The sequence below is a fragment of the Homo sapiens genome, chromosome 19 (assembly GCF_000001405.40).
Source record: "Homo sapiens chromosome 19, GRCh38.p14 Primary Assembly".
NCBI lineage: Eukaryota > Metazoa > Chordata > Mammalia > Primates > Hominidae > Homo > Homo sapiens.
In genome coordinates this window covers 55484837-55510904 of record NC_000019.10, presented here as the reverse complement: position 1 = coordinate 55510904, position 26068 = coordinate 55484837, and the positions used below count along the sequence as shown (strand labels likewise).

Here is a 26068-nt window from a genome sequence, read left to right as displayed (position 1 = left end):
CAGGAGGCTGAGGCGGGAGAATCGCCTGAACCCATGAAGGAGAGGTTGCAGTGAGCTGAGCTCACACCACTGTACTCCAGCCTGGACCATAGAGTGAGACTCCTTCTCAAAAACAAACAAGCAAACAAACATAAAAGCAAACCAAGAAACAAAAACAAAAACACCACCATTAGTGGTACTATTAATTAAAAAAGAAAAAAGAAAAAATAGTCCAGGGAAAAAAACCCATTAGCAGTGAATCACTAAAGATATATTTTCAGCTGGGCATGGTGGCTCACGCCTGTAATCCCAGCATTTTAGGAGGCTGAGGTGGGCGGATCACGAGGTCAGGAGTTTGAGACTAGCCTGACCAACATGGTGAAACCCCATCTCTACTAAAAATACAAAAATTAGCCAGGCGTGGTGGAACATGCCTGTAATCCCAGCTACTCAGGAAGCTGAGGCAGGAAAATCACTTGAACCTGGGAGGCGGAAGTTGCAGTGAGCCAAGATCATGTCACTGCACTCAAGCCTGGGCAACAAGAGCAAAATTCCATCTAAAAAAACCAAAAAGATGTATTTTCAAGATGTTGGGTTTTAGGAAGACTCCATGAAGAACACAAATCAAGCTGGGCACGGCGGCTCACGCCTGTAATCCCAGCACTTTGGGAGGCCAAGGCAGGTGGATCAGTTGAGCCCAGGAGTTCAGAACCAGCCTGGCCAACATGTTGAAACCCCGTCTCTACTAAAAATTACAAAAATTAGCCAGGTGTGGTGGGGCACACCAGTAGTCCCAGTTAACTGGGGGGCTGAGGCATGAGAATCACTTGAGCCTTGGAGGCGGAGGTTGCAGTGAGCTGTGATCATGCCACTGCACCCCAGCCTGGGTGACAGAGCAAGACCCTGTCACAAAAAAACAAAAAAAAAAGAACACAAATTGAAGCCGTCTTCCTTTTAAAATGGCAGCCTCCTGTGTACTCTCAGAATGCACTGTCGGAAATCTGGTTTCTCATTCTCATACGCGTATTTCTTTCTTTTTTTTTTCTTTTTCTCTTTTTTTTTTTTTTTTTTTTTTGAGACAGAGTTTCGCTCTTGTTGCAGTGCAATGGCAAGATCTCGGCTCACTGCAGCCTCCGCCTCCCAGTTTCAAGCCATTCTCCTGCCTTGGCCTCCCTAGTAGCTGGGATTACAGGCGCCTGCCACCATGCCCAGCTAATTTTTTTGTATTTTAAGTAGAGACAGTGTTTAACCATGTTGGCCAGGCTGGTCTCGAACTCCTGGCTTCAGGTGATCTGCCTGCCTCAGCCTCTCAAAGTGCTGGGATTACAGGCGTGAGACTCCGTCTTGGAAAAAAAAAAAAGAATAAAAAGATACACATAACTCTGGCTCATTCTGTGAACCTCTACGTACTACTCGATTGCATGGATATACAGCTGGGTATTAATCTATGCTCCTGTTGATGGGCATTTCGGTTACTCCCAGTGTTTTGCTGTCACAAATATGGCTTCAGTGAACTCTTTGTGCCCATGTCCTTAGGCTCATGGGCGAGAATTTCTCGACGCCTCGTTGTGGAATTGCTGTATGGAAGCAGATGTATCTCCTTAGATACTGCGAACCTGCCCCACTAAGTGCATGGGGATCCTCACTCACACCTTTATCCTACAGCCTTCATGCTGCCAGACGGTGTCATTTTTGCTGGTCTTATGGGGAGAGGGTGGCTGGGGAGGCTGCTGATTCACAAAGATGGCCAAACTGATGCCCAGAGAGGGCAAGAAACTTTCTTGGGGTAACACAGCTAAGGGACAGCATCCAGCTCCAGACCCCAGCAGATCTACCTGGTTCTAAATGGTTCTCTTTCCCTCTGGGTACATATCTCCCAAGTCTCACCCCTTCCTTCCCTGGCAAGCCTTTATTCATCCTTTAGGAGTTAGTCCACAGGCCATGCCCTCAGGAGGCCTCCCCCATCCCCTGTGGATGAGGCCATCCCTGCTGTATAGGAGTTAGTCCACAGGCCATGCCCTCAGGAGGCCTCCCCCCATCCCCTGTGGATGAGGCCATCCCTGCTGTATAGGAGTTAGTCCACAGGCCATGCCCTCAGGAGGCCTCCCCCATCCCCTGTGGATGAGGCCATCCCTGCTGTATAGGAGTTAGTCCACAGGCCATGCCCTCAGGAGGCCTCCCCCCATCCCCTGTGGATGAGGCCATCCCTGCTGTATAGGAGTTAGTCCACAGGCCATGCCCTCAGGAGGCCTCCCCCCATCCCCTGTGGATGAGGCCATCCCTGCTGCATGCGCCCTGGATTCTACAGACCTAATTCTGTCCTTCCCACTCTCCAAGGCTAGAGCCAGCAAGGGTGTGGAATCTGGAGTCTGAATCCAAGTTCAGCCTTTTGCAATCCTGACCTCTCCCTACCTCAGTTTCCTTATCTGTAAAATCAAGCTAAGGATAGGACTCACCTCACAAGGCTGCATGGGGAGGAAGGGAGTGTAACCACAGGATGCACTTTGAACAGCGCCTGGCCCATGGAGAGCACGCGATAAAATAGCAGCTACCATTATCCTCATCATCATCCAACCTCTAAAGTTAATCTCATATTTAGTCCTGGATCCTCTTCTCCCTGCATGACCTCATAGGGTGATAAACCTCCGGCGATACCCCAAGCACGGGTCTCCCCGGCTTCCCAGCTGGCAGTGGCGGGAACTACATTAGACACAGCTGTCTATCTGTGCAGTCACATCCACTCCCACAGCTTCAAATTCCATCTCGCTAAGTTATATCCTCAGCCCAGGCGCTCCCTGGACCTCCAGGATGCACAGCTAATATCTCCTGATATCCCCACTCTGGCTGCTGTGCCCCCACCTCACAGAGCTCCCCGACCTGGTAAAAGGTACCCGTTCCCTGCCTCCCTCTCCTCACTGTCCCCAACCCATCACTCAGCTCCATCAGCTCAAACCCCAGAATATGGCTTGAATACATCCACATCTCCCTTGGTCTCCACTGCCACCCTGATCAGAGCCATTGTCACTCTCCCCTGGACCTCCCGGGCTCCCTGCATCCACGCTGGCCCCTACAGTCCATTCCCCATCTCCCCCGCTGCCACCGTTTCCACCCAACACTCCGCTCTAGTCCCATCCACCTTGTTGCTATTTCTTGAACCAGCAGAGCATGCACCCACCTCAGGGCCTCAGGGCCTTCTCACTTAAATGGCACCTTCTTAGTAAGATGTCTCTTTTTTTCTTTTTTTTTTTTTTTTTTTTTTTGAGACGGAGTCTCGCTCTGTCACCCAGGCTGGAGTGCAGTGGCGGGATCTCGGCTCACTGCAACCTCCGCCTCCTGGGTTTAAAGGATTCTCCTGCCTCAGCCTCCCGAGTAGCTGGGATTATAGGCATGCACCACCACACCCGGCTAATTGTTTGCATTTTTAGTAGAGACGGGATTTCACCATGTTGGCCAGGCTGGTCTGGAACTCCTGACCTCAGGTGATCCACCTGCCTCAGCCTGCCAAAGTGCTGGGACTAGAGTGAGGCACCGCGCCCGGCCCGTAAAATGTCTCTTAACCATCCTTTTTTTTTTTTTTTTTTTTTTTGAGACGGGGTCTCACTCATCCAGGCTGCAGTGCAGTGGCTTGACCATGGCTTACTACAGCCTCAACCTCCAGGGCCCAAGTGATTCTTCTGCCTCAACCTCCCGGGTAGCTGGAACTACAGGAGCACGCCCCTGCTTGGTGAATTTTTTATTTTATTTTTATTTATTTATTTTTTTCGAGACAGTCTCTGTCACCCAGGCTGGAGTACAGTGGCACAATCTTGGCTCGCTGTGGCCTCCGCCTCCCAGGTTCAAGCGATTCTCCTGCCTCAGCCTCCCGAGGAGCTGGGATTATAGGCATGCACCGCCACACCAGGCTAATTTTTTTGTATTTTTAGTAGAGACAGGGTTTCGCCATGTTGGCCAGGCTGGTCTTGAACTCCTGGGTTCAAGCGATCCCTCTGCCTCAGCCTCCCTAAGTGCTGGGATTACAGACATGAGCCACCACACCTGGCCATCCTATTTTAAACTGCAACCCTCAGTCTCCCCTGCCCCTTCCCCTGCTTTGCTCCCTAACACTACCTCCCAGTAGTTAGTACATGCTCTGTCACACAGTAGGCATTTGACACATGAACTGACGTTTGTATCTCCAAACTCCATCATCCAGGAAGCCTGAAGAAATGCTGCTCCATAAAAATCCAAACTCCGGCCGGGCGCGGTGGCTCACGCCTGTAATCCCAGCACTTTGGGAGGCCGAGGCAGGCAGATCACGAGGTCAGGAGATCGAGACCATCCTGGCTAACACAGTGAAACCCCGTCTCTACTAAAAATACAAAAAATTAGCCGGGCATAGTGGTGGGCGCCTGTAGTCCCAGCTACTCGGGAAGCTGAGGCAGGAGAATGGTGTGAACCCGGGAGGCAGAGCTGGCAGTGAGACAAGATCACGCCACTGCACTCCAGCCTGGGCGACAGAGCGAGACTCCGTCTCAAAAAAAAAAAAAAAAAAAAAAAAAAAAAAAAAAAAAAATCCAAATTCCACAGGCCTCCAATCTCATCTCCAGTGTCTCTTAGACTTACAATGTCATCTCTCATTTGTTCATTCATTTAACAAATAACATAAAAATTAACTACTGAGTTTCAAGCACTGCCCTAGACACTAGGGATTCCAGATAGATCCATGATAGACAAGATAATATGCCCCTCGCCCAAAGATGTGTGTGCCCCAATCCACAGAAACTGTGAATATGTTACTTTACGTGGCAAAAGGGGACTTGTGGATGTAATTAAGGGTCCAGACCTTGAAATGGAGAAATTATCCTGATTAGCCAAGTGGCCCCAATCTAAGTCCTTAAACTCAGAGAACTGGCTGGGTGCCGTGGCTCACGCCTGTAATCCCACCACTTTGGGTGACCAAGGCGGGTGGATCACCTGAGGTCAGGAGTTCAAGACCAGCCTGGCCAACATGGTGAAACCCCATCTCTACTAAAAATACAAAAATTAGCCGGGAGTGGTGGCACACGCCTGTAATCCCAGCTACTCAGGAGGCTGAGGCATAAGAATTGCTTGAACCTGGGCAGCAGAGGCTGCAGTGAGCCGAGATCATACCACTGCACTCCAGCCTGGGCGACAGAGTGAGACTCTGTCTCATAAATAAATAAATAAAATCAGAGAACCTTTCAAGCCACAGTGAGAGAGAAAAATACGAAGGCAGAGGAAAGGTCAGAGAGATGCAATGTTGCTGGCTTTGATGATGGGGGATGGAGCCACAAGCCAAGGAATGTAGGTGGCCTCTAGAAGCTGGAAAAGGCAGGGAAATGGATTCTCCCCTAGAGCCTTCCAAAGGGAACCACCCTGCTGGCGCCTTGATCTTAGCCCACTAAGCAAGTCTGACTTCTGACCTACAAAACTGCAAAATAATAAGTCTGCGTTGTTTTAAACCACTAAATTTGTGGCGATGTATTATGGCAGCAATTGAAATAGATACAGATCTTTCACAGAGCTTAAAGTCTAGCAGAGATGGATAACACCGATGAAAATTTCTGGCAATGCAAATTTCTCCCACCCTTTGCTTCTCTGAGAATTCATTTCTCCTTGTGGCCTGCTGATGAAATAATATCATCTCCCCTGTGAGGTTTCCTTGATTTCTCTACTACAAATAATCGCTCGTTCCCTGAAATCCTGCAGCTGTTGTTCGTTTTCAGCAAATAACCCTAACAAACAATATTCTGCGGTTTTAAACGATTTCACACACATTTTGTTCATTGAATTGGGGCCTGCAGTCACCCAACTAGTTCTAATCCGGGTTGGAACCACGATTGGAACCTGGTAGGAGAGTCGGACTCCAGACTCGTGCTTCTATTTTAGCATATGGTTCCCAATCCAAGGAGCAAAACGTGTGAAATCACTTAAAACAGGTTATAATCGTGGCTCCTAAGTTAAACTTCTCTGAGCCTCACTTTTTACCCCATCTGAAACACAGGTGTAGCAACAGTTTCTATGGCCTGAAGTTGGGGTCATGCATGCCCAGCACAGACTAGGTGAGCTCTCGTTCCACCTTTCCAACAACCCTGGCGCCCCATTTTTTTTCCAGAGAAAGAAACAGGTGGCCGGGCGCGGTGGCTCACACCTGTAATCTCAGCACTTCGGGAGGCCAAGGCGAGTGGATCACGAGGTCGGCTTTGAGACCAGCCTGGCCAACATGGTGAAACCCCGTCTCTACTAAAAATACAAAAATTAGCCCGGTGTGGTGGCGTGCGCCTGTAATCCCAGCTACACAGGAGGCTGCAGCAGGAGAATCGTTTAAACCTGGGAGGCAGAGGTTGCAGTGAGCTGAGATAGCGCCACTGCACTCCAGCGTGGGTGACAGAGCGAGACTCCGTCTCAATAAATAATAAATAAATAAAACAATATAAATAAGAAACGGGGACTCAAAGAGACCAAGTCACTTTTTCAAGGTTACATTGCTCCTGAAGCTAAGAATGCATGCCTGCCTCGTCTCCCACTCCACCCCGCATACGCCTCCAAGTCTTCCTATTGATAAGGTGGCACACATGGCTGTCTTTTCATTTCACCGGCGCAGTTTGTGATTCTGCATTTATTTCTGCTCATTGGCTGCCTCCCTACCCTACGGGAGGGGTCCCGAGGCCGGACCCGCTGTCTCCGCAGCCGCTGTGCCCGGCACGTGCCCGCCTCCACCACGAGGGGGCGCTATGGGCTAGGGAGGCGCTGCAACCCTGGCAGTCCTTGAACGAGGAGCATCACCTCTCGGAGCTCCCGCTTCCGGCTCTGGAAACGGAATGATAGCTCTAACTCACAGCTGGAGCCCACCCACCCCCAAGTCACGGCGCCTCTAGGGCCTGCTTCCTCCCTCCCTTTCCCCACCTCAAGGCCCGCTTCTTGGGGCCTGGTTGCCCTTCGCCCAGCTATTATTACTGCGGGCGATGCGCCGGCTGGCCAATCAGGAGGCGCAGCGCGCCTGTGACGTCACGAGGTGCGAGGCAGATGAACGCCTGCCCCATCCCGTCCCTCCATTCCCGGGCCCACCGCGCCTGCGCATGCGTGCTGAGCGCCAGAAAAAAAAAAGGCGGGAAAGGACGCTTGCGGCGAGACTCTCCTGCGGGAGCGGGAGGCTTGGGCCTCTCAGGAGGGCACAGGTACGGGGCGCGGGGCGACAGAGGCAGAAACCCAGGCAGCCCCAGACGGCGAGCAGGGCGGGAGAGTGGAAGGGAGGGAGAAGACGGAGAAACAGCGACTGCGACGGGCACAGAGGGAGGACAGAAACGCTGCCCCTTAGGTGGGGAGTGAAACCTCCCGTGAGGGAGCGGCGAGGGCGGCGGGGACGGTGAGAAACGGACAGAGGAGCCCGCGGGAGACAGAAACGGAGGGAAGGGGGCTGACCATGAGAGAAACGAGGGGGAGAGAGAAGAGAGCACGCGGGAGACTGCAGGGAAGGCGCGGGAGATGGAGACTCAGAAAACAACCGTAAGAGACAAAGGAAAAGATACCACAGCGCTGGGCCTGGGGAGAGAACGCAGTGAGAAATGGAGACGATGAGAGTATGAGGTGATATAGCAAAACCGACCGTGAAAAATCGAGTGAGAAGCAGGTGGCGAAGCTGAGAACTGAAAGTGAAAGACAAGAGGACGGAAGATACAGAAACAGTTTGGGCCCAGTGGCTCCCGCCTGCAATTCCAGCACTTTGGGAGGCCGCAGCAAGCCGATGACTTGAGCCCAAGAGTTTGAGACCAGCCTGGGCAACATAGTGAGAACCCATCTCGACAAAAAATCAGGCCGGGAGCAGTGGCTCACCCCTGTAATCCCAGCACTTTGGGAGGCCGAGGCAGGCGGATCACGAGGTCAGGAATTTGAGACCAGCCTGGCCAACATGGTGAAACCCGTCTCTACTAAAAATACAAAAATTAGCCGGGAGTGGTGGCACACGCCTGTAATCCCAGCTATTCAGGAGGCTGAGGCAGGAGAATCACTTGAACCCGGGAGGTGGAGGTTGCAGTGAGCCGAGACCACGCCACTGCACTCCAGCCTGGGCAACACAGCAAGACTCTGTCTCAAAAAAAAAAATTAGCCAGGCATGGTGGTGTGCATCTGTAATCCCAGCTATTCAGGAGGCTGAGGTCGGAGGATCACCTGAGCCTGGGAGTTCAAGGCTGCAGTGAACTGAGATCGCACCACTGCACTTCAGCCTGGGCAACAGAGCAAGATCCTGTCTCAAAAAAGAGAGAGAGAAATTTACCATGAAAAATGGAGTGAGAAACAGAGGTGGTGAAGGTGAGATCTGAAAGAAAAGTGAAAGACTGAGGGGGAAAGACAGATAAATTGACCAGGAAAAACTAGGTGAGAAACAGAGATGAGAGTGTGAGACTGATAATGAAACAAAAAGACAGAAGGACAAGGGAGAAAAAAATAAAGAGAAACTGACCACGAAAACTGGAGTGAGAAATAGATGTAATGAGGGTGAGAAATTGAAAAAGAAAGACAGGGAAAAAGAAATGATGGGAATATGAAACTGACAACGAAAGAAAAAAAATGAGAAAGATGGTGAGAGAGAGCAAAAGAAATTACCATGAAAAAAATACGGCATAAAGACGAGTGTGAGAAATTGAAAATGAAAGGCAAAAAGAGATTGGCACAGAGAAGAAAAGATAGAGAATTTGATCATGGAAAATGAAGTGAGGCCAGGCATGGTGGCTCACACTTATAAACCCAGACATAAGCCCAGCACTTTGAGAGAGTGAGACAGGAGGATCGCCTGAGCTCAGGAGTTTGAGACCAGCCTGGGCAACATAGTGAGCCCGTCTCTACAAAAATTAAAAATGAGCCGGGTGTGGTGGCGCACATCTGTAGTCCCACCTTTTCAGGAAGCTGAGGCAGGAGGATCGCTTGGGCCCGGGCAGTCAAGGCTGCAGTGAGCTGAGATCACACCACTGCACTCCATCCTGGGCAATACAGAGATAGAGATGATGAGGGTGAGAAATGGATAATGAAAAAAAGAGACCAACAGCAAGTGAGAAACAGGAGCAGAGATGGATTCGCAGGGATCCTGAGAGATGGGGATACAAGGAAGACAGGCAAAGAAAAAGGCAGAAGAATGTGGTGACAGTGATGTGGGGGCCAAAGCGGGGCGTGGTCCCAGGTGTGGAAGGAGCTGCAGCAGCAAGACAGAGGCCATAGAGCAGAGGGGGATGGAGCTGTGGCCCTGGAGGCTGATTCTGCTGGCCAGAGGGAGGGGATGGCCAGGGTAAGGAGAGAAGCTGCACTCCAGGAGTCCCCACCTCTGAGCCATACCAGGCCCGGACCAGAGCGTGAGCTTCAAGAATGGGTGAGGTTTCGCTTGCTCTGGGGGAGCTGGGGTGGGGACGATGATGTGATGACAGAATGGCCCTTGGTTGTGGGTTTGACTGAGGGCCCCAGGCTTGCATATTGTGTGGCTTACAGGAGGGCCATGGGCTCAGGATTGCTGAGCTTAGCCTGATCTCTTAGATGGTGTCCTTGGCTCTGAAGAAGTGTCACCATTGAGCCCAAGGAGGTAATGCGTTTAGGGTCTCAGGAGCCAAGGAAAACCTTTCCAGGGTGCCCCGAGGCCTCAGCCAGCTCATTGAGAAGGGTCTTTCTGGAAACCCTGCAGGGAAGCGAATGGAGGTTTATGGAGGCCCTCCATGGCCACCCCAATCAGGCCTCTCACCTGTGTCCGGCAGGCGCCTTATTGCTGGGGAGGAGCTACCCGGGCGCCGGGTGGTCCTCCAGGGGAGAGTGTGTCCAGGTACCCCCGCTGTGGTAGTCCCCTTGGCCAGGTCCTCTCTTGAGGTGGGGTCCCAGGTCCAGGGGGGATAATCGTCATAGTCTGTGTAGCCTTTGGAGAAATTGGGGTAATGGTTGACCCCATCCTCTTTCTCAGAGGTCCTTGCTGCTGCTCTTCCCTCCCCTTTTGGAATCTTCTGGAGCAACTCTGGGATCTCCCCACCCCGACCCCTCATACCCAGTTCTTTAGAGTCGACCATGGTGCCGTCACCTGGCCCCACCCTGACTCCATTCTCCTGGCCACCCCCGACAACCCCACCACCGCCGCCATGCCCTGGTACCAGTGCAGGTGAGCCCCACGTCTTCCTCGTGGTCACAGTTGTGCTTCCCCCAAGCCCCCGAGGGGCAGTCGCTCAGTGAGGCCTCGCTTCCCTTACAGCCCATGTCATCCAGCCAGATGGGCCCAGTCCCAGGGCCGTAATGGGTTTTGCCTACTCGAGGCCGGACCTTTCCACAGCCCAGTTCCCAGCAGGCCACAGTGGCGTCCCGCAGGTCCCAGTTGTCATCACACACTGTTCCCCAGCGTCCGGCATGCCACACTTCCAGCCGGCCAGCACAGCGGTTGGGCCCATCGGCCAGACGAACCCGGAACAGGCCTGCGTGGAAGGCCCTTAGGTCAGGAGGGAGGGTCAGCCTCTCCCATTCTCTCCCCACACCCCTCACGGCCACTCACCTGATTCCCCAGTGGTGCTAACACTGGGAGAGGGGGCCGGGTCTTTGGGTGACTCTGGAGACCCTTCTGGGATCTCAGCAGATGGCTCCAGGGAGGCCTGAGGGATACTCTTGATAGTGGACTCAGAGGTCATTTCTTGGGGGCCTTGAGTGGTCAGCATTGCCATGGTCTTAGTGGTCCGTTCTCGGGGGGCCTGAGGGGTCAGCGTGGCAGTGGTGTGAGAGGTCCATCTCTGGGGGGCCTCCGTGGTCGGCCTTCTGGTAAACTCAGAGGTAGGTCTTCGGGAGGCCTCAGTGGTCAGTGCTGCAGTGGTCTGTGAGGTTAGGTCTGGGGGGCTTTGGGCCCTGGAGTGTTTCGTGGTTGGCATCACTGGGGGTTGAGTGGTTGGTCTCTTTGCATTTTTTGTCACCCACTTCTTAGTACTCTTAGGCATTTTCCCTGGGGCCTTCGTGGTTGTTTTCTCCAGAACACTGGCAGTCACACTTGCAGAGGGCTTGGTGGCCAGCTCTCCCGGGAGCCAGGCATCCCGATCTCTCCCCAGTCCAGGAATCCAGCTCCAGCTGAAGGGGTCTGAGATGGAGTCCAGGCCTGGGGGCCCTGGAAGGTGAGTGGGGCAGGAAGAGAAGACAGAGACACCATGATGACAAGATCATCTACCCAGGCCCCTCCTTCTCTCCAGTCACTCACCCAGTTCCCATTCATTCATCATTCATTCATTTATTGTCACAAATATTTATTGAGCACCTCCTATGAGCCACACACCATATTAGACCCTCGGGTAGCCTATGGCAAGCCAAACCCGACACTGCCCCCGCCTTCTTGGCATTTACAATCTGGACATAACTGACCCCCTCACCCTTTCACACCTGACCTCTCCTCTCCATCTCCTCAGCTTCTGCTCTGAGTCAGGGCCTCATTTCCTATACCTTCTGACAGGTCTCCCTACCTCCCTGTCAATTCTTACTGACCACCAGTGGGGTACCCAGGTCCGACAGGCCACTCCCGAACTCAGAATCCTTCTGTGGTGCCCCCGTGGCCCTCAGGAAGACGGGGACAGAGGGAAGAGCCGTAGCTTCCAGCAGAGGTGATGCCTCCATCCTTTGAGACACCACTCTCCATCTTCCATCTTTCTGATTAGCACACGTGTGCAGTAAAGGATTAACCCTGCCCAAAGAAAGGTTTCGCCTTTTCCCCGGCTCCTGGGAGATGACTTCGAAGCCTTTGGAACACCTTGCCTGATAAGAGATTTTTTTCCCTGGGGCACTTGGGCCATGCCAGATCGCCTATGCTAACAGTGTGATTTATGGTCAGCCACATGTACGTGGCCAAGTCCCCACGAACACTCTGGATGCCAAGGCTTGGGGGAACTTCCCTAGTTGGCAGTTCCTCATGTGTGTTGTCCCACTTCGTTGCTGGGATAATGAAGTGCTGTCTGCATAACTCCACTGGGACAGGACAGTTGGAAGCTCACACCTACTGTCTCCTGAGCCCTGCCTCAGGCGCCTCTTCCCTTGGCTGATTTTAATCTGTATCCTTTCACTGTGATAAACGATAACGCTGAGTGTAACAGATTCTTTGATTCTAAGAGTTCTTCTAGCAAATTATTGAGTCTGACAGTGGTCTTGGTAACCTCAAACTATAACGAGTCACACAGGTTTGCAATGATTTGTTAGAGTATTTCTCTACATGAGCTGTGAGCTATTCAAAGACCAAGACCATGTTCATTCCATTCATGAGCCCAGCATGAGGACCCTGCACCTGGCTCAGCCTCTGCAATTTAATAACAGGCATTGCCTGAGTTTATGTTAACTGGCTCTCACTTTGGCTTCTTTCCATCTCCCAGTGCCCTGCCTGCTTCCTTTCATCGTAGGAAAGCTAAAGCTCCTTTCTTAGTGGGAAATTTCCTTGATTCCTGGAAGGAAGAGGAAGCAGAAGCTTCTCTGAGTGGGAATCCCAGATCTGCCAGTTAGTTGTTGCTGTGTGATCTTGAGCAAGTTACCCAACCTCTCTGTGCCTCAGCTTCTTTATCAGTAAAATGGGCATAACACACACCACCCTAGACTTATTATGTGATTTCAATGTGGTTATATGTGCAAAAACACCCAGCACAGGGCTGGGGCTTAGGAAGCACTCAATCAATGTTAGTGCCCATGTTAGTTACTGTTCCCCTCCAGGAAGCCCTCCTGGAGTCAACAGATAGCTAGGGCCTCCTTACCAGTGCAGGTGACCCCAACATCCTCATTGTGAGCGCAGTTGTGCTTTCCCCAGGGAGCAGCAGGGCAGTCGGACAGTGAAGCCTCGGTCCCCACACAGCCCACATCATCTAGCCAGATGGGGCCCGCACCCCAGCCAAAGCGGCCAGCAGCAGGGTCTGGCTGCTGAGGTCCACCACAGCCCAGCTCCCGGCAGACCACAGCTGAATCCCGCATGTCCCAGCTATCGTCACACACGGTCCCCCAGCGCTGGTCATGCCACACCTCCAGTCGACCTGAGCACTTGCTGGGCCCAGCCACCAGGCGCAGCTGGGGGGACCCTGGGGTAGAAGAGACCCAAAGAATTAGAGTCGGGGAAGCCGCCCAGCCTCCTGACTCTTCATCCACCTTTCCCTCCCCCCATCTTCCTTTCCACTCATCCATCTAGGCCTTCCCTCCATTCATCCATCCTTTCCTCCAGGCAGCAAGTATTTCATGAGGCCTTTTTTGTGCCATTTTCTGCATTAGGCATGAGGGATAATGAGTCAGGCAGAGTTTGGAGGATCCTCAAAAAGCTACACATCAAATTACCATATAATCTAGAAAGTCTGCTACTAGGGATATACCCAGAATAAACTGAAAACAGGTATTCACACAGATACCAGTATGTGAATGTTCATAGCAGCACCATTCACAGTAGCCAAATAGTAGTGGTTGTACAGCATTTTGAATGTATAAATACCACTTAAGTTGTATACTTAAACTGGTTAACTTTATGTTACATGAATGTCACCTCAATTAAAATAAGTCTTTTTCCATGCAGTTGTTCACCACCCTTAATTTTCTCTCATTATTATTGGTTTAATAAGGGTTTTTTTCTTCTTTCTTAGATTTTATTTTCCTAACCACTAGACCACCAGGGATAATAAGGTGTTTTGTTGTTGTTTATGAGTCAGGCACAGCCTCTGCTTTGAAAAGCTCTCGGTCTTCAGGGAAAGTAGCATGCACACACTTCATTACAGCTCAGCGAGCTAAAGGGAGTAGTGGAAGTACCCAAAGGGCAAGGCAGACACACAACGAGGAGAAGGTGAGAAAAATTCTGCCTGAGGAAGCTGGAGAAGGCTTCTCAGAGGAAGTCCTTTAAAAGACAGGGAGCAGCAGGCCCGGCACGGTGGCTCCCACCTGTTAATTCCAGCACTGTGGGAGGCCCAGGCGGGCAGATCACCTGAGGTCAGGAGTTTGAGACCAGCCTGGCCAACGTGGAGAAACTCTGTCTCTACTAAAAATACAAAAATTAGCCAGGCATGGGCCAGGTGCAGTGGCTCAGCCTGTAATCCCAGCTACTCCGGAGGCTGAGGCAGGAGAATCGCTTGAACCGGGAGGCGGAGGTTGCAGTGAGCCAAGATCGTGCCACTGCACTCCAGCCTGGGTGACAGAGCGAGACCCTGTTTAAAAAAAAAAAAAAAAAAAGACTGGTAAAAATGGTAAACTTTATGTCATGTATGTTTTATCACAATTGTTTTTTAAAGAACGTGCGCCCTGGAACAAGTGTTTTTGCTTGAATCCTGGCTCTCCCATTTCTCAGCGGTGCTGCCTCATCTGTAACATGGAGACCTATCAGTATCCACACCACAGTGGCTGTAAGCATCACCTGGACTGAGACACGGAGAGAACTGGGAACAGCATCAGTCACCAGGAGCCAGTGCATGCTCGTTCAGTGTTAGCTGATATTATTATTCAGGAAAAGGGGAACGAGACCTCTGGGAATGGTGATCATGGTGAAAATAAGTTGCTGCTTTTGTTCGGCCTTTTCCCATCTTGAGGAGACAGCTGTGTTAACCACGCCTTTTTATTTTCTGTATTTCTGATGCTTTGACATCTTGGAGCATTCCTGATCCTGAGGGACTGCCCCTCCCAGGGTTAGCTAATTCCTAGAGATGGTAAATGGCTTGAGCATGCCTTTCGTGTGCAAACCACCCTCTCCACTGGGCTCTCACACCCTGGGCCATTCTGCACCTGTCCTCATTGCCCCAGGGCCAAGTACCAGATGACTAAGGACAACCCTCTGAGTCGCCACCCTCCCCACCGGCCCCACTGAAATTCTTCAAACCAGCCAGTTCTAAGCCTGCTCAACCTGTCTCACCTATTCCTTCCTGCAAAAAACACAAGAAAGACCCCTGCACCTGGCCGGGTGGCTCACGCCTATAATCCCAGCACTTAGGGAGGCCAAGACAGGAGGATCACCTAAGGCCAGGAGTTTGAGACCAACCTGGACAATAGTGAGGCCCTGTCTCTACAAAAAAAAAAAAAAAAAAAAAATAGCCAGGCTCGGTGGCATGCAGCTGTGTTACCCAGGAGGCGGAGGTGGGAGGATCACTTGAGCCCAGCAGTTTGAGACTGCAGGGAGCTGTGATTACACCACTGCACTCCAGCCTGGGCAACCAAGTGAGACCCTGTCTCTAAATAAATGTATAAAAGATTCCTGCCATGCTTCCCCCTCACTCCGTCTACCTCCTGCCTGGCCCTGGTGCTTCCCTGTGTGGCCCCGTGTGGCACGCCATCCTCTTGAGAACCGTCAGTCACAATCTTTTTAGTGGCTGTCATCTCCTGAGATCCTGGCCTCACCATACCTCAGTAATAATAACACCTATATTTTAAAACAACAGTCCTTTCAATACTCATGAAAGAGACCAGGCACGGTGGCTCACGCCTCTAATCCCAGCACTTTGGGAGGCCGAGGCAGGCAGATGGTTTGGGATCAGGAGTTCAAGACCAGCCTAGGCAACATGGCAAACCCCATCTCTGCAAAAAAAAAAAATACAAAAAATTAGTAGTCCCAGCTACTTGGGAAGCTGAGGTGGGAGGATCACTTGAGCCTGCAGGTTGAGAGGTTGAGGCTTCAGTGAGCCATGATCACACCACTGCATTCCAGCCTGAGTGACAGAATTAAATCCACTCTCAAAAAAAAAAAAAAAAAAAAAAAAAAATATATATATATATATATGAAAGGAGGCAGGCAGAACCATTGATCACATTTGCTAAAGAACCAGAGACTCTGGAAAGTAAAGGTAATGTTTGAGCAGGGCTGTTCCTTGAAGCTGGCCTGAGTACCCCATGATGGATCCTACAGCCACACCGTGCAGCTTGGGAATAGAGCAGACTCTCAGCCCAGCATCCTTTCTCTTATCCAGGACTGGCTACAGAATTTTGGGGGCTTGGTAAATGACGAAAGTTAGGACCCCTTGTTCAAGAATTATCACACGCTCCCAGACGCAACAGCAGAGCATTGAACCCAGCTCAGTGTCCTGGGCGAGGCCCCTGTGCTCCTCTTCTCCACCTTTCTCTTTGCAAGAGGCCCCCCATGAGACAGTCTCAGAGCTGAGGGAAGGAAACAGAAGGAAGGACCCTGTTTTCTTGGGGAGCATGGAGGGACTCACCGGCTTCCGGTCCAGGCTCCCAAAGGACAGTAGGGGAGGCTGGAGGAGGTGAAACGCCTGCCGTCCCTGGAGCCTGGCTCGTCATGGTGGACGGGGGCCTGGAGGCAGCCTCCCTGGGCGTGGAGTTGTTGCTGTCCGTGGGGGCCGTGGGAGGGACGTAGCCCAGGGGCATGCCTGTGGAGCAGGGGGTAAGTGATTGCCACCCACACACACCCTCCATCCCGGAGCCGGCACCCCCACCTCCTGCGTCATCCTTCCTCAGTCCTCTCAGCTGCACGCAGAGATCTCTTCCTGCCGAACCTCCTCCCTAGACACAGCCCACGCTTTCCACATCCCTGACCTGGGGAGAGGGGTGTGAATGCGGAGCACGGGAACAGAGAGAGCAGAGGGCATGGTAGCTTAGGGGTGGCAGAGAAGCGGGGGGTGACCTTATGCAGAGGAGAAGGCTGGCTTCCGCCGGGGGCCAGGAGGCAGGGCCAGCCAGGGCTGCCACGGGGCTGAGGCTCATCCTCGCCTCTGTTTCCATTTGGGGCTGGACTGTTCTCAGCTGTGGAGGCGGCCTGTGCACTGCAGGATCCTAAGCAACACCCCTGGCCTCTAACCCCTGGGTGCCAGGAGCACCCCCACCCCCAGCTGTGACCATCAAAAATGTTTCCAAACACTGTCCAATGTCCCCTTGGGGGCAAAGCCACCCCCAGCTGAGAACCAGTGACGCAGGGTGAGGATTCAGAGGGGAATAAGATGGGGGAGTGGAAAGTCCGGAGAGAGGGCAGGAAGGGCGCGTAGGGACCCCCCCGCCCCCGCCGAACTTGCCCCTCCGCTCCAAGCACCACCACGCCCACCTCCCGGTCCTCCACCACAACCCCCTCACCGTCACACACGGCCCCGGCGTCCTCGCGGTGGTGACAGTCATGCTGGCCCCAGGGCCGAGCTGGGCAGAATCGTAAGGCCGTCTCGTTTCCCCGACACCGAAGGTCGTCCAGGATGATGGGTCCAGACCCCTCCCCAAAGAAGGCGCCCCCGGGGGCGGCCAGCGCCCCTCCGCAGCCCAGCTCTCGGCAGGCCACAGCGGCGTCTCGCAGGTCCCAGGCGTCGTCACACACCGACCCCCAGCGACCCCCGTGCCAGACCTCCAGGCGGCCGGCGCACCCGTGGGGGCCATCGGCCAGGCGCAGCCGAGGTGCTGGGCCTGGATAGTGGGAGAGGGAGCACAGGGCCAGGAAACGAGGGTGGATGAGCGGGGACTAAGCTATGCTCAGGCAGGCTGCAACCCCAAGATGACTCTGGGAAGCAAATATTCCATCTTCACTATCCAAATGAGGAAAAGGTTCCAAGACAGGAAGTCACTGGCCCGGAGTCCAACTCTGGCGCATCCCCCATATCCCTTGCCTTGGGGCGGTGGGGGCTGGGGACGCTGGGAGCTCTGGCTCTGGTCCCCTGGATCCACCTCCCATGCCTGGCCCCTCGGATCCTAGAGAGCCGGATTTCCAAGTCTCAGCACCACTGGCATTGGGCATCCTCCTTTATCGTGGCAACTGTCCTGCACTGCATCCTCTACCCACCACATGCCAGTGGCAACCCCTCCCCCTAGCTGCGACAACCAAAAACGTCTCCAGACATTGCCTGATGTCCTTTGGGGAGGAAGGGGATGAGAAAGCCCTCACTCCCTTGCCAGCTGAGAGCCACTAGTCTAGATATTAACCTCTCGCTGGCCTTAGGATACATAGGGTACATTTCATTTTTTTATTTTTGGGGGGAGGGGATCTCACTATGTCACCCAGGCTGGAGTGCAATGGTGCAATCTTGGCTCACTGCAGTCTCGACCTCCTGGACCCAAGGAATCCTCCCCGCCTCAGCCTCTCCCAAGTAGCTGGGACTACAGGCATGCGCCACCATGCCCTGCTATTTTTTTTTTATTTTATATTTTGTAGGGAAAGGGTCTCACTATGTTGCCCAGACTGGTCTTGAACTCCTGGCCTCAAGAAATCCTCCCAAAGCACGTGGGCTACAGGTGTTAGCCTGTAACCATGCCTGGCTCTTCGGGTACATTTCTGTTGGGGTAAGAGTTGACTCATCATTGGAGGACTCTGGAGTCCCTCTCTCTGTCCCCCAACGAGGCAGGTGCAGAATTGCCCCCAATCACTGTTCTAGAGAAGAGCACAGAACTAGGGAGGAGTCTAACACACCTGTCTGCTTTTCCTCATCTGCAGACAGGGGAGGGGAGCGTCTCCCTCCCGGGGTTGCCATGAGAATTAAATCAGATGCTGGCGAAGCTCCCAGCTTCACCGGGCGCCTTAGTTCATTTGTTTCCTTTCTTGGCACCTTCACCCTCTCCTCTCCAGAGCCTCAACTTCCCTCCAATGAACTCTGCTCCGAAGGTCCCACTTCTTCCCCCACAGCTTGTACACTAGGCACACGAAGGCACCACCCCCACCCCATACAAGCCTTCTCTGCTGCTCACTCCCACTCTGACCTCCGTGTCCCCACCACGTCCCTATGGCCGACTGTGCAGTGGGACAGGCATGGAGCGTGGGTCTATACAGACCCAGAGGGGTCAGCGGCTGGGGCTGGAGCTTGCTAGGCACCTGGGTCTTGGGCCATTTACGTCACCTCTCTGAGCCTCGGCCCCACATCTGTGAAGAGAGGGATGAGGATCCACCCCGTCCGGGCTGCGGGAGGCTCAGAGCGGCCCCAGGTAACGTGCACAGCGCAGGGCCCAGCATACAGCAGAGACTAGGGTCAGCCTCTTTCTCTCTTCTCTCCCCCCTGGATACCCACTGATGTCAGCATTTCCTACCCATCCTGGGCAGGCACCCAGCTTTGCCTGCAGCCCGTGTACTGTCCCCACCCCAACGCTGATGAAATGCCAGGTGGGTGCCCTCTGCCTGCCGGCCTCCTACAGTCAATGGATCGGGCAGTCCAGCAGGGTGGGGCCTGCCGTGGTGGTGTGTAAAGATTTGTGGAAGGAAAGAAAGGAAAGAGAAAGGGAAAGAGGGAGGAAGGAAGGAAGGAGAGAAGGAGGGAGGGAGCCCCTGAGCTCTCACCTAACACCCCCCAACCGCTGTTTGCTGGGTTCTATCCCAGGTCCAAGGGGTACAGGAGAGGGGAGGGACCCCCTGGGAGACATGAGGGGAGGAGACCCCGCGCTGAGGGGGCGTGAATGAGGGGAGATGGAGGCTCACCCGTGGGTGTCCCCACCCTGCCTCAGTCTCCCTCCATGCCCCCAAGTCACCGCCCTCCCTCCCTCCTTCCCACCAGCTCCCTTGAGGATGGGGAAGGAGCAGAGGTTGGCCACAGAGACAAGAGGTCTCCGAGACGGTCCCCTGCCATGGCCAGCCCGGTGGCAGAGGGCAGGCAGGGCTTCTTGCGTTCCAGGACTTGGCTCAAGCCTGAGGCAGGCATTCTTAGCTCCATCGCTCCTTCAGGAAAACTGAGGCTTAAACAAACGGTCACTGGCCTAGGCCCCGGGACAGGGCTGAGCACTAGCCCAAGCCTCAAGCCTGCTCCTCCCATTCCTGGCAAGGAGAACGGCAGGAGCTGTGGAAGGAGGGGCTGGAGAGCGTGGTGAGTGGGCGCTGGGCATGCAGAGAGCAGGCGGGCAGGAGGCAGAGCTGGGAGCAGGCCCGCTGCAGCTTCCTGGAGGGGCAAGAGGGAGCTGGGGTCTGAGGAAGACAGGAGGGGGCCAGGCCCCAGCCCGACGTACCGGTGCAGACCAGCCCCGCATCCTCGCTGTGGTCACAGTTGCTCCGGCCCCAGGGGCTTCGGGGGCAGTCTCGGAGGGCCTGTTCTCCTCCTCCACACCCCACATCGTCCATCCACACGGGCCCTGCACCAGGCCCGAATCTGGCACCGCCGGGGGCAGCCAGCGCCCCCCCACAGCCCAGTTCCCGGCAGGCTACAGCAGCGTCGCGCAGGTCCCAGCCATCGTCACATACGGTGCCCCAGCGCCCGCCGTGCCAGACCTCCAGGCGTCCGGCGCACCTGTGGGGGCCAGAGACCAGGCGCAGCCGCTCTGTGGGGTGAGCAGGGAGGGGACGGTGTGGCCAGTGAGAAATGATTCAAACACCCCTTCCTCGATTTCCACCTGGGGAAACAGGCCTGAGGGAGCGGTGGCCTGAGATCTGTCCGCCGGCAGCCCGTGAAGAGGTGAGTCCACGACCTGAGCGGGCCAGGACACCTGGGCCTCCTGACAGGGCAGGAAGAAGAGGGGAGACCAGGCCTGGCCGTCTAAATCCCCGGGGGAGGGACGCGGGGAACACTGGGATCCCTCCAGGGCCCCGGCTAAGGAGAGGGCGCCCGCAGGTCCTCAGTTTTTCTGGGCCCTGGGCCTCACAGCAACCAGCCTTGGGGTCGGGGGAGCCTGCAGGGAGCTTACCTTGGCGGGGGGCTCCTGTCGTCAGCAGAGGGGCCCGGGTGGACTTGGCCTGCTTGGGCCGGGGGCTCTTCTTCCGGGAGGCGTTCTGGGGGTTCCCAGCTGGGCGGGGGGCTGGGAGTGGAGACAGCCAGGGGTCAGGAGCTGAGCCCCTCATCCTTCCTCCCACCTGGGGGCCCAGGCCTCCGTCTCTGAGGGTCTGAAGTGATGGAGGACTCCCTAGGCTATGAAGGAGACGGGGCGGGGCAGGGGGCGGGCTGTGTGTCCCCTGGGAGTTCATACTGCAGAGGTCCCTCTCCCCTCGGTGGGGGCAGGAGGGCACGCTGGGTGGGGGTTGGCAGGGCAGTCCCTCTCCCCTCGGGGGGGGCAGGAGGGCACGCTGGGTGGGGGTTGGCAGGGCAGTCCCCTGGGCTCACCATGTGTCACCAGGGGCTCCTCCGTGCTGGGGCTCAGCTCCAGCAACAGCCCTGGCCAGGGAGCCCCATCCAGGGGAGATGTTGAGTCGTCCCTGGAGTTAGCCACACGCTGACCTGCGGCGGGGGGGCAGGGACAGAAGCTATGAGGAGAGGAGGGGAATCCAGGCCATTTGGGTCCCTGGAAGAGGGAGTTAGCCACCTGGCTTTGGAGGGGATGGGAGGTTGGGTGTCTCTGAACTGCTGAACACTCAGACTTGCTGGGGCTAAGGACTTGGGGTTCCTGGGTCATCTCCAAAGGAGCTCCCCCTGAAGGAGCAGCCAGGGTGTCCTCACCTGCGCAGACGACGCCCGCGTCCTCCTCGTGGGAGCAGATGTGGGCCTTCCAGCCCCGGTGGTGGCAGAGGCCCAGCTGCCCCTCGTTGCCCCGGCAAGCCAGCTCGCTGAGCCACACAGGCCCTGCCCCCTCCCCGAAGAAGGCGCCTCCCGGGGCGGCCAGTGCCCCTCCGCAGCCCAGCTGCCGGCAGGCCACGGCGGCATCGCGCAGGTCCCAGCCGTCATCACACACGGTGCCCCAGCGCCCGCCATGCCAGACCTCCAGGCGGCCAGCGCACCCATGGGGGCCATCGGCCAGGCGCAGGCGCTCTGAGGGTTGGAGGAATGGCTGTGACTGGGGAGGGGCATCCTGGGGGCCCCAAGGCCAGGGCAACTGTAGGGGCAGGTGGCTGTCCTGCAGGTACTGTCTGTAGGCCAGTGGCCCTGCTCACTGGCCCCTGGGCCCAGACTCCTGGGTGCTCAGAGAGATGCGGCCAGACACCTGGGGGATTCCCTTGCGGAGCTGGGGCCAAGGTCACAGTGGAATTCGGATGGGCCGGGGACCCAGTGGGGGTGAGGCCAGGCCTGGATGGGCAGAAGGGGGAGGCCTGGGGGGGGGGGCGGGCAGATGGGAGGAGTCTGGGCACTTACCAACAGCCTGGATCCCCACCAGGGCCGCTGGAAGGGAGGGCGGAGGGTGGGGCAGTGTGAGGGGCAGGCCGGGGGTGGCCCTTTCTCCAGCGCAGGCCCCTCATCTTGAATACCCCAACACACACACACACACACACACACACACACACACACACACACATGGGCTTGGCTAAAGGTCAGATGTCTGGGAGATCCCCCGCAGGGTCAGGGCTGGGGGGCGGGCAGGGGGCAGGTCCCTTGGGCTTCTGGGCTGGCAGAAGGCTGGGCAGATTGAGCAGGGATCCTCAGAAGGGATGTCAGGGTATGCAGGAGCACCAGCGACCAGTCCCGGAAGTTTGAGTCCCTAAACTGGACAAGCTAAGGGGTCAGAGGTGGGGGCCTAGGCCCCCCGAGTCCCCAAGGAGAATGGATCACTCACCAAGGAGGCAGGCCAAGACCCTCATGGTTGCAGCCAGGGCAGGGGATGGGGTGAAAGGGGAAGGAGAGCGGGGAGAGAAGAGGAGGAGGCAGCTGGGGAGAGAGGGAGGGAGGGAAGTGCCTGCTGGAGGCGCCCAGGCCCGAGGAGGAGCAGGCAGGGCTGGACGCTTTGCCAGGAGGAAGAAAGAGGCTGCAGGGAGGCGGCAGGGGACGGTGGGGGGGAGGGGGGGCGGGAGGGGGCTGGCCGTCTGCTGAGGCATGGGGGGGAGGGGGGTGGCGGGCGGGAGGGAGGGTGTCCAACTGCAGACACCCACACGGGAGATGGAGACGACGGCCAGGCAGGCTCCAGCCAGCAAAGTGCTGTGCCCAGAGATGCTTAGGGGGTGGCCGGCTGCAGGAAGGCACAGGACAGGGGTTGGGGGACGTGTGCGGGGGGGGCGCAGCATGAGCGGGAGGGGCGCCCACCTGCTGTCTCCCCTCTTGTCTGGTCAGGGAAATCCAGTGAGACCACTGCTAGGGTTGGGGGCTGGGCAGACCTGGGGTTCTTGGTGCAGCAGCAAGAAGATTTGCAGCCAGACACCAGGAGGGACTTCCTGGGTTAGGAAAAGAGACTGAAAGACCCGGCCCTCCAGTCCTCCCACTCACTGGTGGATCTGAGTGTGAAGCCCCCAGTCCCCAGCTGAGAGAGGAGAGGTTGAACTTCACTGTCCCAGAGGGAGCTGGGGTCGGGGGATAAGCAGCACAAGGGTCAAGGCTTGGGAAGGGGAGGGGCTCCACACACTCTTCCACACACTCACACACACACACACACACCCCACTGCCTGCACACCAGGCAGCTGTGAGGCGGAAAAAATTCGGTAATGGGGAGCGTGACTCAGAAGGGCTGGCAGGGCCTCGGGCTGCCCCTGAGCTCACAGCCTCCCCTTCTCCCAGTCCAGCACCGTCCCCCAACAATTAATGTTAACTGGGGAAAGGAGAAGCCAGACAGAAATGGGCGGGGGTGTCCGGAGACAGACTGGGAAAGCCATCAGAGAAGAGACAGGCACACAGCGGTTTCAGGCTTTATTAACAAACGGTGTAAAAAACCAGACGGATCTGGAGGAAGGGACAGGGCTGCCCGTCTCAGCTCTCAACCTTCCCAGAGAGGGGCCAGGCCTGGCAGCCCTGTGCGTCGCGCCTCCTAAGCAGTCAACCTTGTCCCCTCCAAGGACAGGCATCTGACCCAATCCAGGTCCCAGGGAGGCGGAGTCGCAAACCCTAACTCTGGGGTGTATTCTGCTCGGCCTCCTCTCCCCCTCCCCAGATAGCTCTCCCAGCCTGGGGCACGGACAGCACAGACTTTGCAGACATCACCCGGGGAGGTTTCTCAGTGCAGACAGGAGCTGAGGTAGGGGTTGGAGAGGCTGACCTCGAGAGGCCCCCGAGGGCCAGGAAGGAAAAGGAGTCATTCCACTCTGAGAAGCTCAAACACAACAGACTTCACACTGCTGACGGGTGGACAGAGGCCAGGCTCCTCCCCTCGGCAGGCCTCTGTTTCTGGGCCCAGGGTGGTTGAGGACTCACTGAGGGAGAGCAGGTAAAAGAACCCGCAGACAGTAGGCGATCATCAGGTGCTGGCGCCCCTCCCTCCTCCCCTGCCCTGGCTGTCAGTCTGTAGCTTCACAGGTCTTTGCTGAATTCCCTCACCAGCGTGTAGCCCAGGCAGCCCCAGCCCCCCTCGGCCTGGTAGCCACAGCCCTCCAGCATCCCTCCCACCCCCCAGGCGGCCACAGCCACGGGGACCACGAGCCGGGCCCGGGGCTCCCCCATGCCCCCAGCCCAGGCCCGAGCCCGGGCCTCCGCGAAGGCCAGCAGCCTCCTGCCCACGCCCCGGCGGCGGTGCCAGCGAGAGACAGACAGGCGGGTGACCCGGGCCCCGTCCCCTGCATTTGTGCCAGGGGCCAGAGCCAGGACCCCACACACGTCACCGGAGCCCCGCACGGCCACCCAGGGGCCCCCCAGGCCACCCGGCGGAGGCAGCGAGCCCCATCGGGCCCGCAGGCCCAGCTTCACGGCGGCCACAGCCAGGAACACCGGCAGGAGGAGGGCCAGGGCGAAGGAAGCCAGGACAAAGCGCAGGCCGCTGCTGGCCGCCGCCAGGAGGAGCAGGGCCGGCGGCCGTGTCAAGGCATGGAGGGCCACGCGGTTTTCCGTGTCCTTCACGCCGGCCTGTGGGCAGGAGGGGTGGCTCAGCCATCCGAAACGCTAGGGCCTCCTGGACAAAGAGAGGAGGTAGACCCTGCCCGGGGCGGGGTGAGAGCTCCCAAATGGGAAGGGAAGGCAGCACAGTCCGATGTTCAGTGTGGCACACTGGGTATGGAGTGAATGAATGAACGAGAGCGAATGATGGATGGATGAGTGAATTAGGAGCTGTGGGGGCACTCAATTCAGTAGCAATGCCGCAGTGAGGCCCCAGGGAAGTAAGGACAGGGAGGTTGCCTCAGGCTGGAGTGGAGGCTGGAGGGAGGCTGCTGGGCTAGGTTGGGGTGCTGGGCTGTGCTTTGAAGAGTTGGGGTCCGAGGCACAGAGCTGGCTGTTGTGCTGGCGTGCACAGCCGACTGGAGATGGGAGACCAGGGAGGGCGTTGGTGCTGGGGTCCCAGTAGGGCTGGGGGGGTGAGCCCCCACCTGCCACACCTGCTGTGGTTTTCAGCAGCAGGGCGGCTGAGGCTCAGGAGGAAAAGATCCCGCTCCAGGGGTCCAGGCTGGCTCAGGTGGGTGGGAGGGGGTGGCTGAATCCACTTGCAATTCCCCCACTGCAGCCACTCCCAGGCCCCCTGGGGCCCCTGCCTCTCACCTTCAGCATCTCCAGCACCAGGGGCTTCTCATCTTCCCTCATCTCCCGCACTGACAGGTGGCTGGGGGCCATGGCAACCCCCAGGCCCCGGCCCCCCAGAAGGGAGCTGGCGTCGTGCACCTGGTGAGAACATAAGTAGGTCAGCGTCAGGGGGGCACCTCTGTCCCCAAAGCTCCCCCGAGGGGTAGGGAGCAGCAACGGCACTTCCCAGATCAGGACACTGAGAACCCTCGGGGCCCCCAAGCGAGGATCTCGGCAGGACAGGCGCCCCCCACAATACTCAGCGACCTTGCTAAAGTCTCCCGGGATCCCCCCTCCCCCGTATTATTCAGCGATCTACACTCCCAAACGCGCTGCGGACGCCAACACTGCAGCACGGGGCTCCCTCCCAGGCACTGGGGTCCACGAACACCCTCCCCACATGCCAGAGAACGGACCACGCTCGCTCCACCCCGGTCCCCAGCGCCCCCTCCCCCACAGTCGTCCCCGTCCCGCGCCACAAGAACAAGGACCAGCAAGCACCTGCACCGGTCGCCTTTGGTCCTTCGACAAGGTTTCGGGAGCGGGTCTGGAAGGGGGTCGCGGGCGGAAGTGACGTCAGACCGCGCGCGGTGGGGCGGGGCGGCGCCCGCTCCGGGCCGTAGCAACCGTTGCTAAGCTCCCCGGAGGGCGGGCTGGGAGGAACCGAGCTGTGACCCTGCGGAGGGCCGGGAAGCGACCTCTCCTATCCCTAGAGAAGGAGCAACGGGGAAAGGGGACCTGGGGAAGAACGGGAGCGGAAGCCGGCAGGAGACGGGCGGCGGGCTGGGGACCAGCGCGAGCTCCCGCCCCACGTTCCCTCGTTGCTGAGCAACCTGAGCGCCGGGCGGCGACGCCAGCGCGTGGATTCTCATCCGTGCCGGGGCCTTCGCGGGAGGAGCCGGCCACGCTCAGCATCCTGGCGC

General features: G+C 56.6%; 2 protein-coding genes across 3 annotated transcripts in view, besides 5 other annotated features; both read right to left on the bottom strand.

Moving 5' to 3' along the window:
• Window positions 1-22469, bottom strand: part of SSC5D (scavenger receptor cysteine rich family member with 5 domains) — a 30664-nt gene extending 8195 nt beyond the window's left edge. The window contains exons 1-13 of one of the 2 annotated variants that reach the window (NM_001195267.2): window positions 22291-22469; window positions 21873-21899; window positions 21243-21551; window positions 20910-21023; window positions 20497-20607; window positions 19825-20133; window positions 16993-17310; window positions 16122-16295; window positions 12708-13025; window positions 10493-11089; window positions 10101-10415; window positions 9704-9871; window positions 6564-6789 (exon numbers count right to left, since the gene is read on the bottom strand). In NM_001195267.2, the coding sequence (NP_001182196.1) occupies window positions 6719-6789; window positions 9704-9871; window positions 10101-10415; window positions 10493-11089; window positions 12708-13025; window positions 16122-16295; window positions 16993-17310; window positions 19825-20133; window positions 20497-20607; window positions 20910-21023; window positions 21243-21551; window positions 21873-21899; window positions 22291-22315 (2856 nt within the window). In that variant the 5' untranslated portion in view covers window positions 22316-22469 and the 3' untranslated portion in view covers window positions 6564-6718. Of the gene's footprint in view, window positions 1-6563; window positions 6790-9703; window positions 9872-10100; window positions 10416-10492; window positions 11090-12707; window positions 13026-16121; window positions 16296-16992; window positions 17311-19824; window positions 20134-20496; window positions 20608-20909; window positions 21024-21242; window positions 21552-21872; window positions 21900-22290 lie in introns of those variants that run through there. The other variant, NM_001144950.2, reaches the window with a different exon arrangement.
• Window positions 2489-2783: a silencer, noted in NCBI's record as "tiled region #5021; HepG2 Repressive non-DNase unmatched - State 22:ReprW, and K562 Repressive DNase matched - State 8:EnhW". NCBI's record gives its function as "represses a minimal TATA promoter and a strong SV40 promoter by Sharpr-MPRA in HepG2 and K562 cells {active_cell/tissue: HepG2 | K562}" and the evidence as "EXISTENCE:reporter gene assay evidence [ECO:0000049][PMID:27701403]".
• Window positions 7020-7069: a silencer, noted in NCBI's record as "silent region_11040". NCBI's record gives its function as "represses an Ori minimal core promoter by ATAC-STARR-seq in GM12878 lymphoblastoid cells {active_cell/tissue: GM12878}" and the evidence as "EXISTENCE:reporter gene assay evidence [ECO:0000049][PMID:35858748]".
• Window positions 7120-7209: a silencer, noted in NCBI's record as "silent region_11039". NCBI's record gives its function as "represses an Ori minimal core promoter by ATAC-STARR-seq in GM12878 lymphoblastoid cells {active_cell/tissue: GM12878}" and the evidence as "EXISTENCE:reporter gene assay evidence [ECO:0000049][PMID:35858748]".
• Window positions 23339-25717, bottom strand: NAT14 (N-acetyltransferase 14 (putative)). The gene is made up of 3 exons (NM_020378.4): window positions 25647-25717; window positions 25125-25244; window positions 23339-24497 (listed from the first exon to the last, which is right to left on the bottom strand). Exons 2-3 carry the CDS (start codon window positions 25194-25196, stop codon window positions 23949-23951), a joined length of 621 nt encoding a protein of 206 aa, NP_065111.1. The 5' UTR covers window positions 25197-25244; window positions 25647-25717; the 3' UTR covers window positions 23339-23948.
• Window positions 25078-25407: an enhancer, noted in NCBI's record as "active region_15097". NCBI's record gives its function as "activates an Ori minimal core promoter by ATAC-STARR-seq in GM12878 lymphoblastoid cells {active_cell/tissue: GM12878}" and the evidence as "EXISTENCE:reporter gene assay evidence [ECO:0000049][PMID:35858748]".
• Window positions 25508-25927: a silencer, noted in NCBI's record as "silent region_11038". NCBI's record gives its function as "represses an Ori minimal core promoter by ATAC-STARR-seq in GM12878 lymphoblastoid cells {active_cell/tissue: GM12878}" and the evidence as "EXISTENCE:reporter gene assay evidence [ECO:0000049][PMID:35858748]".

Coding starts and splice junctions, on each gene's coding strand:
- NAT14 (NM_020378.4), bottom strand. CDS start 25,196: ATGGCCCCCAGCCACCTGTCAGTGCGGGAGATGAGGGAAGATGAGAAG. Junction 24,498..25,124: donor TGGTGCTGGAGATGCTGAAG/GTGAGAGGCAGG, acceptor TCCTGCCCACAG/GCCGGCGTGAAGGACACGGA.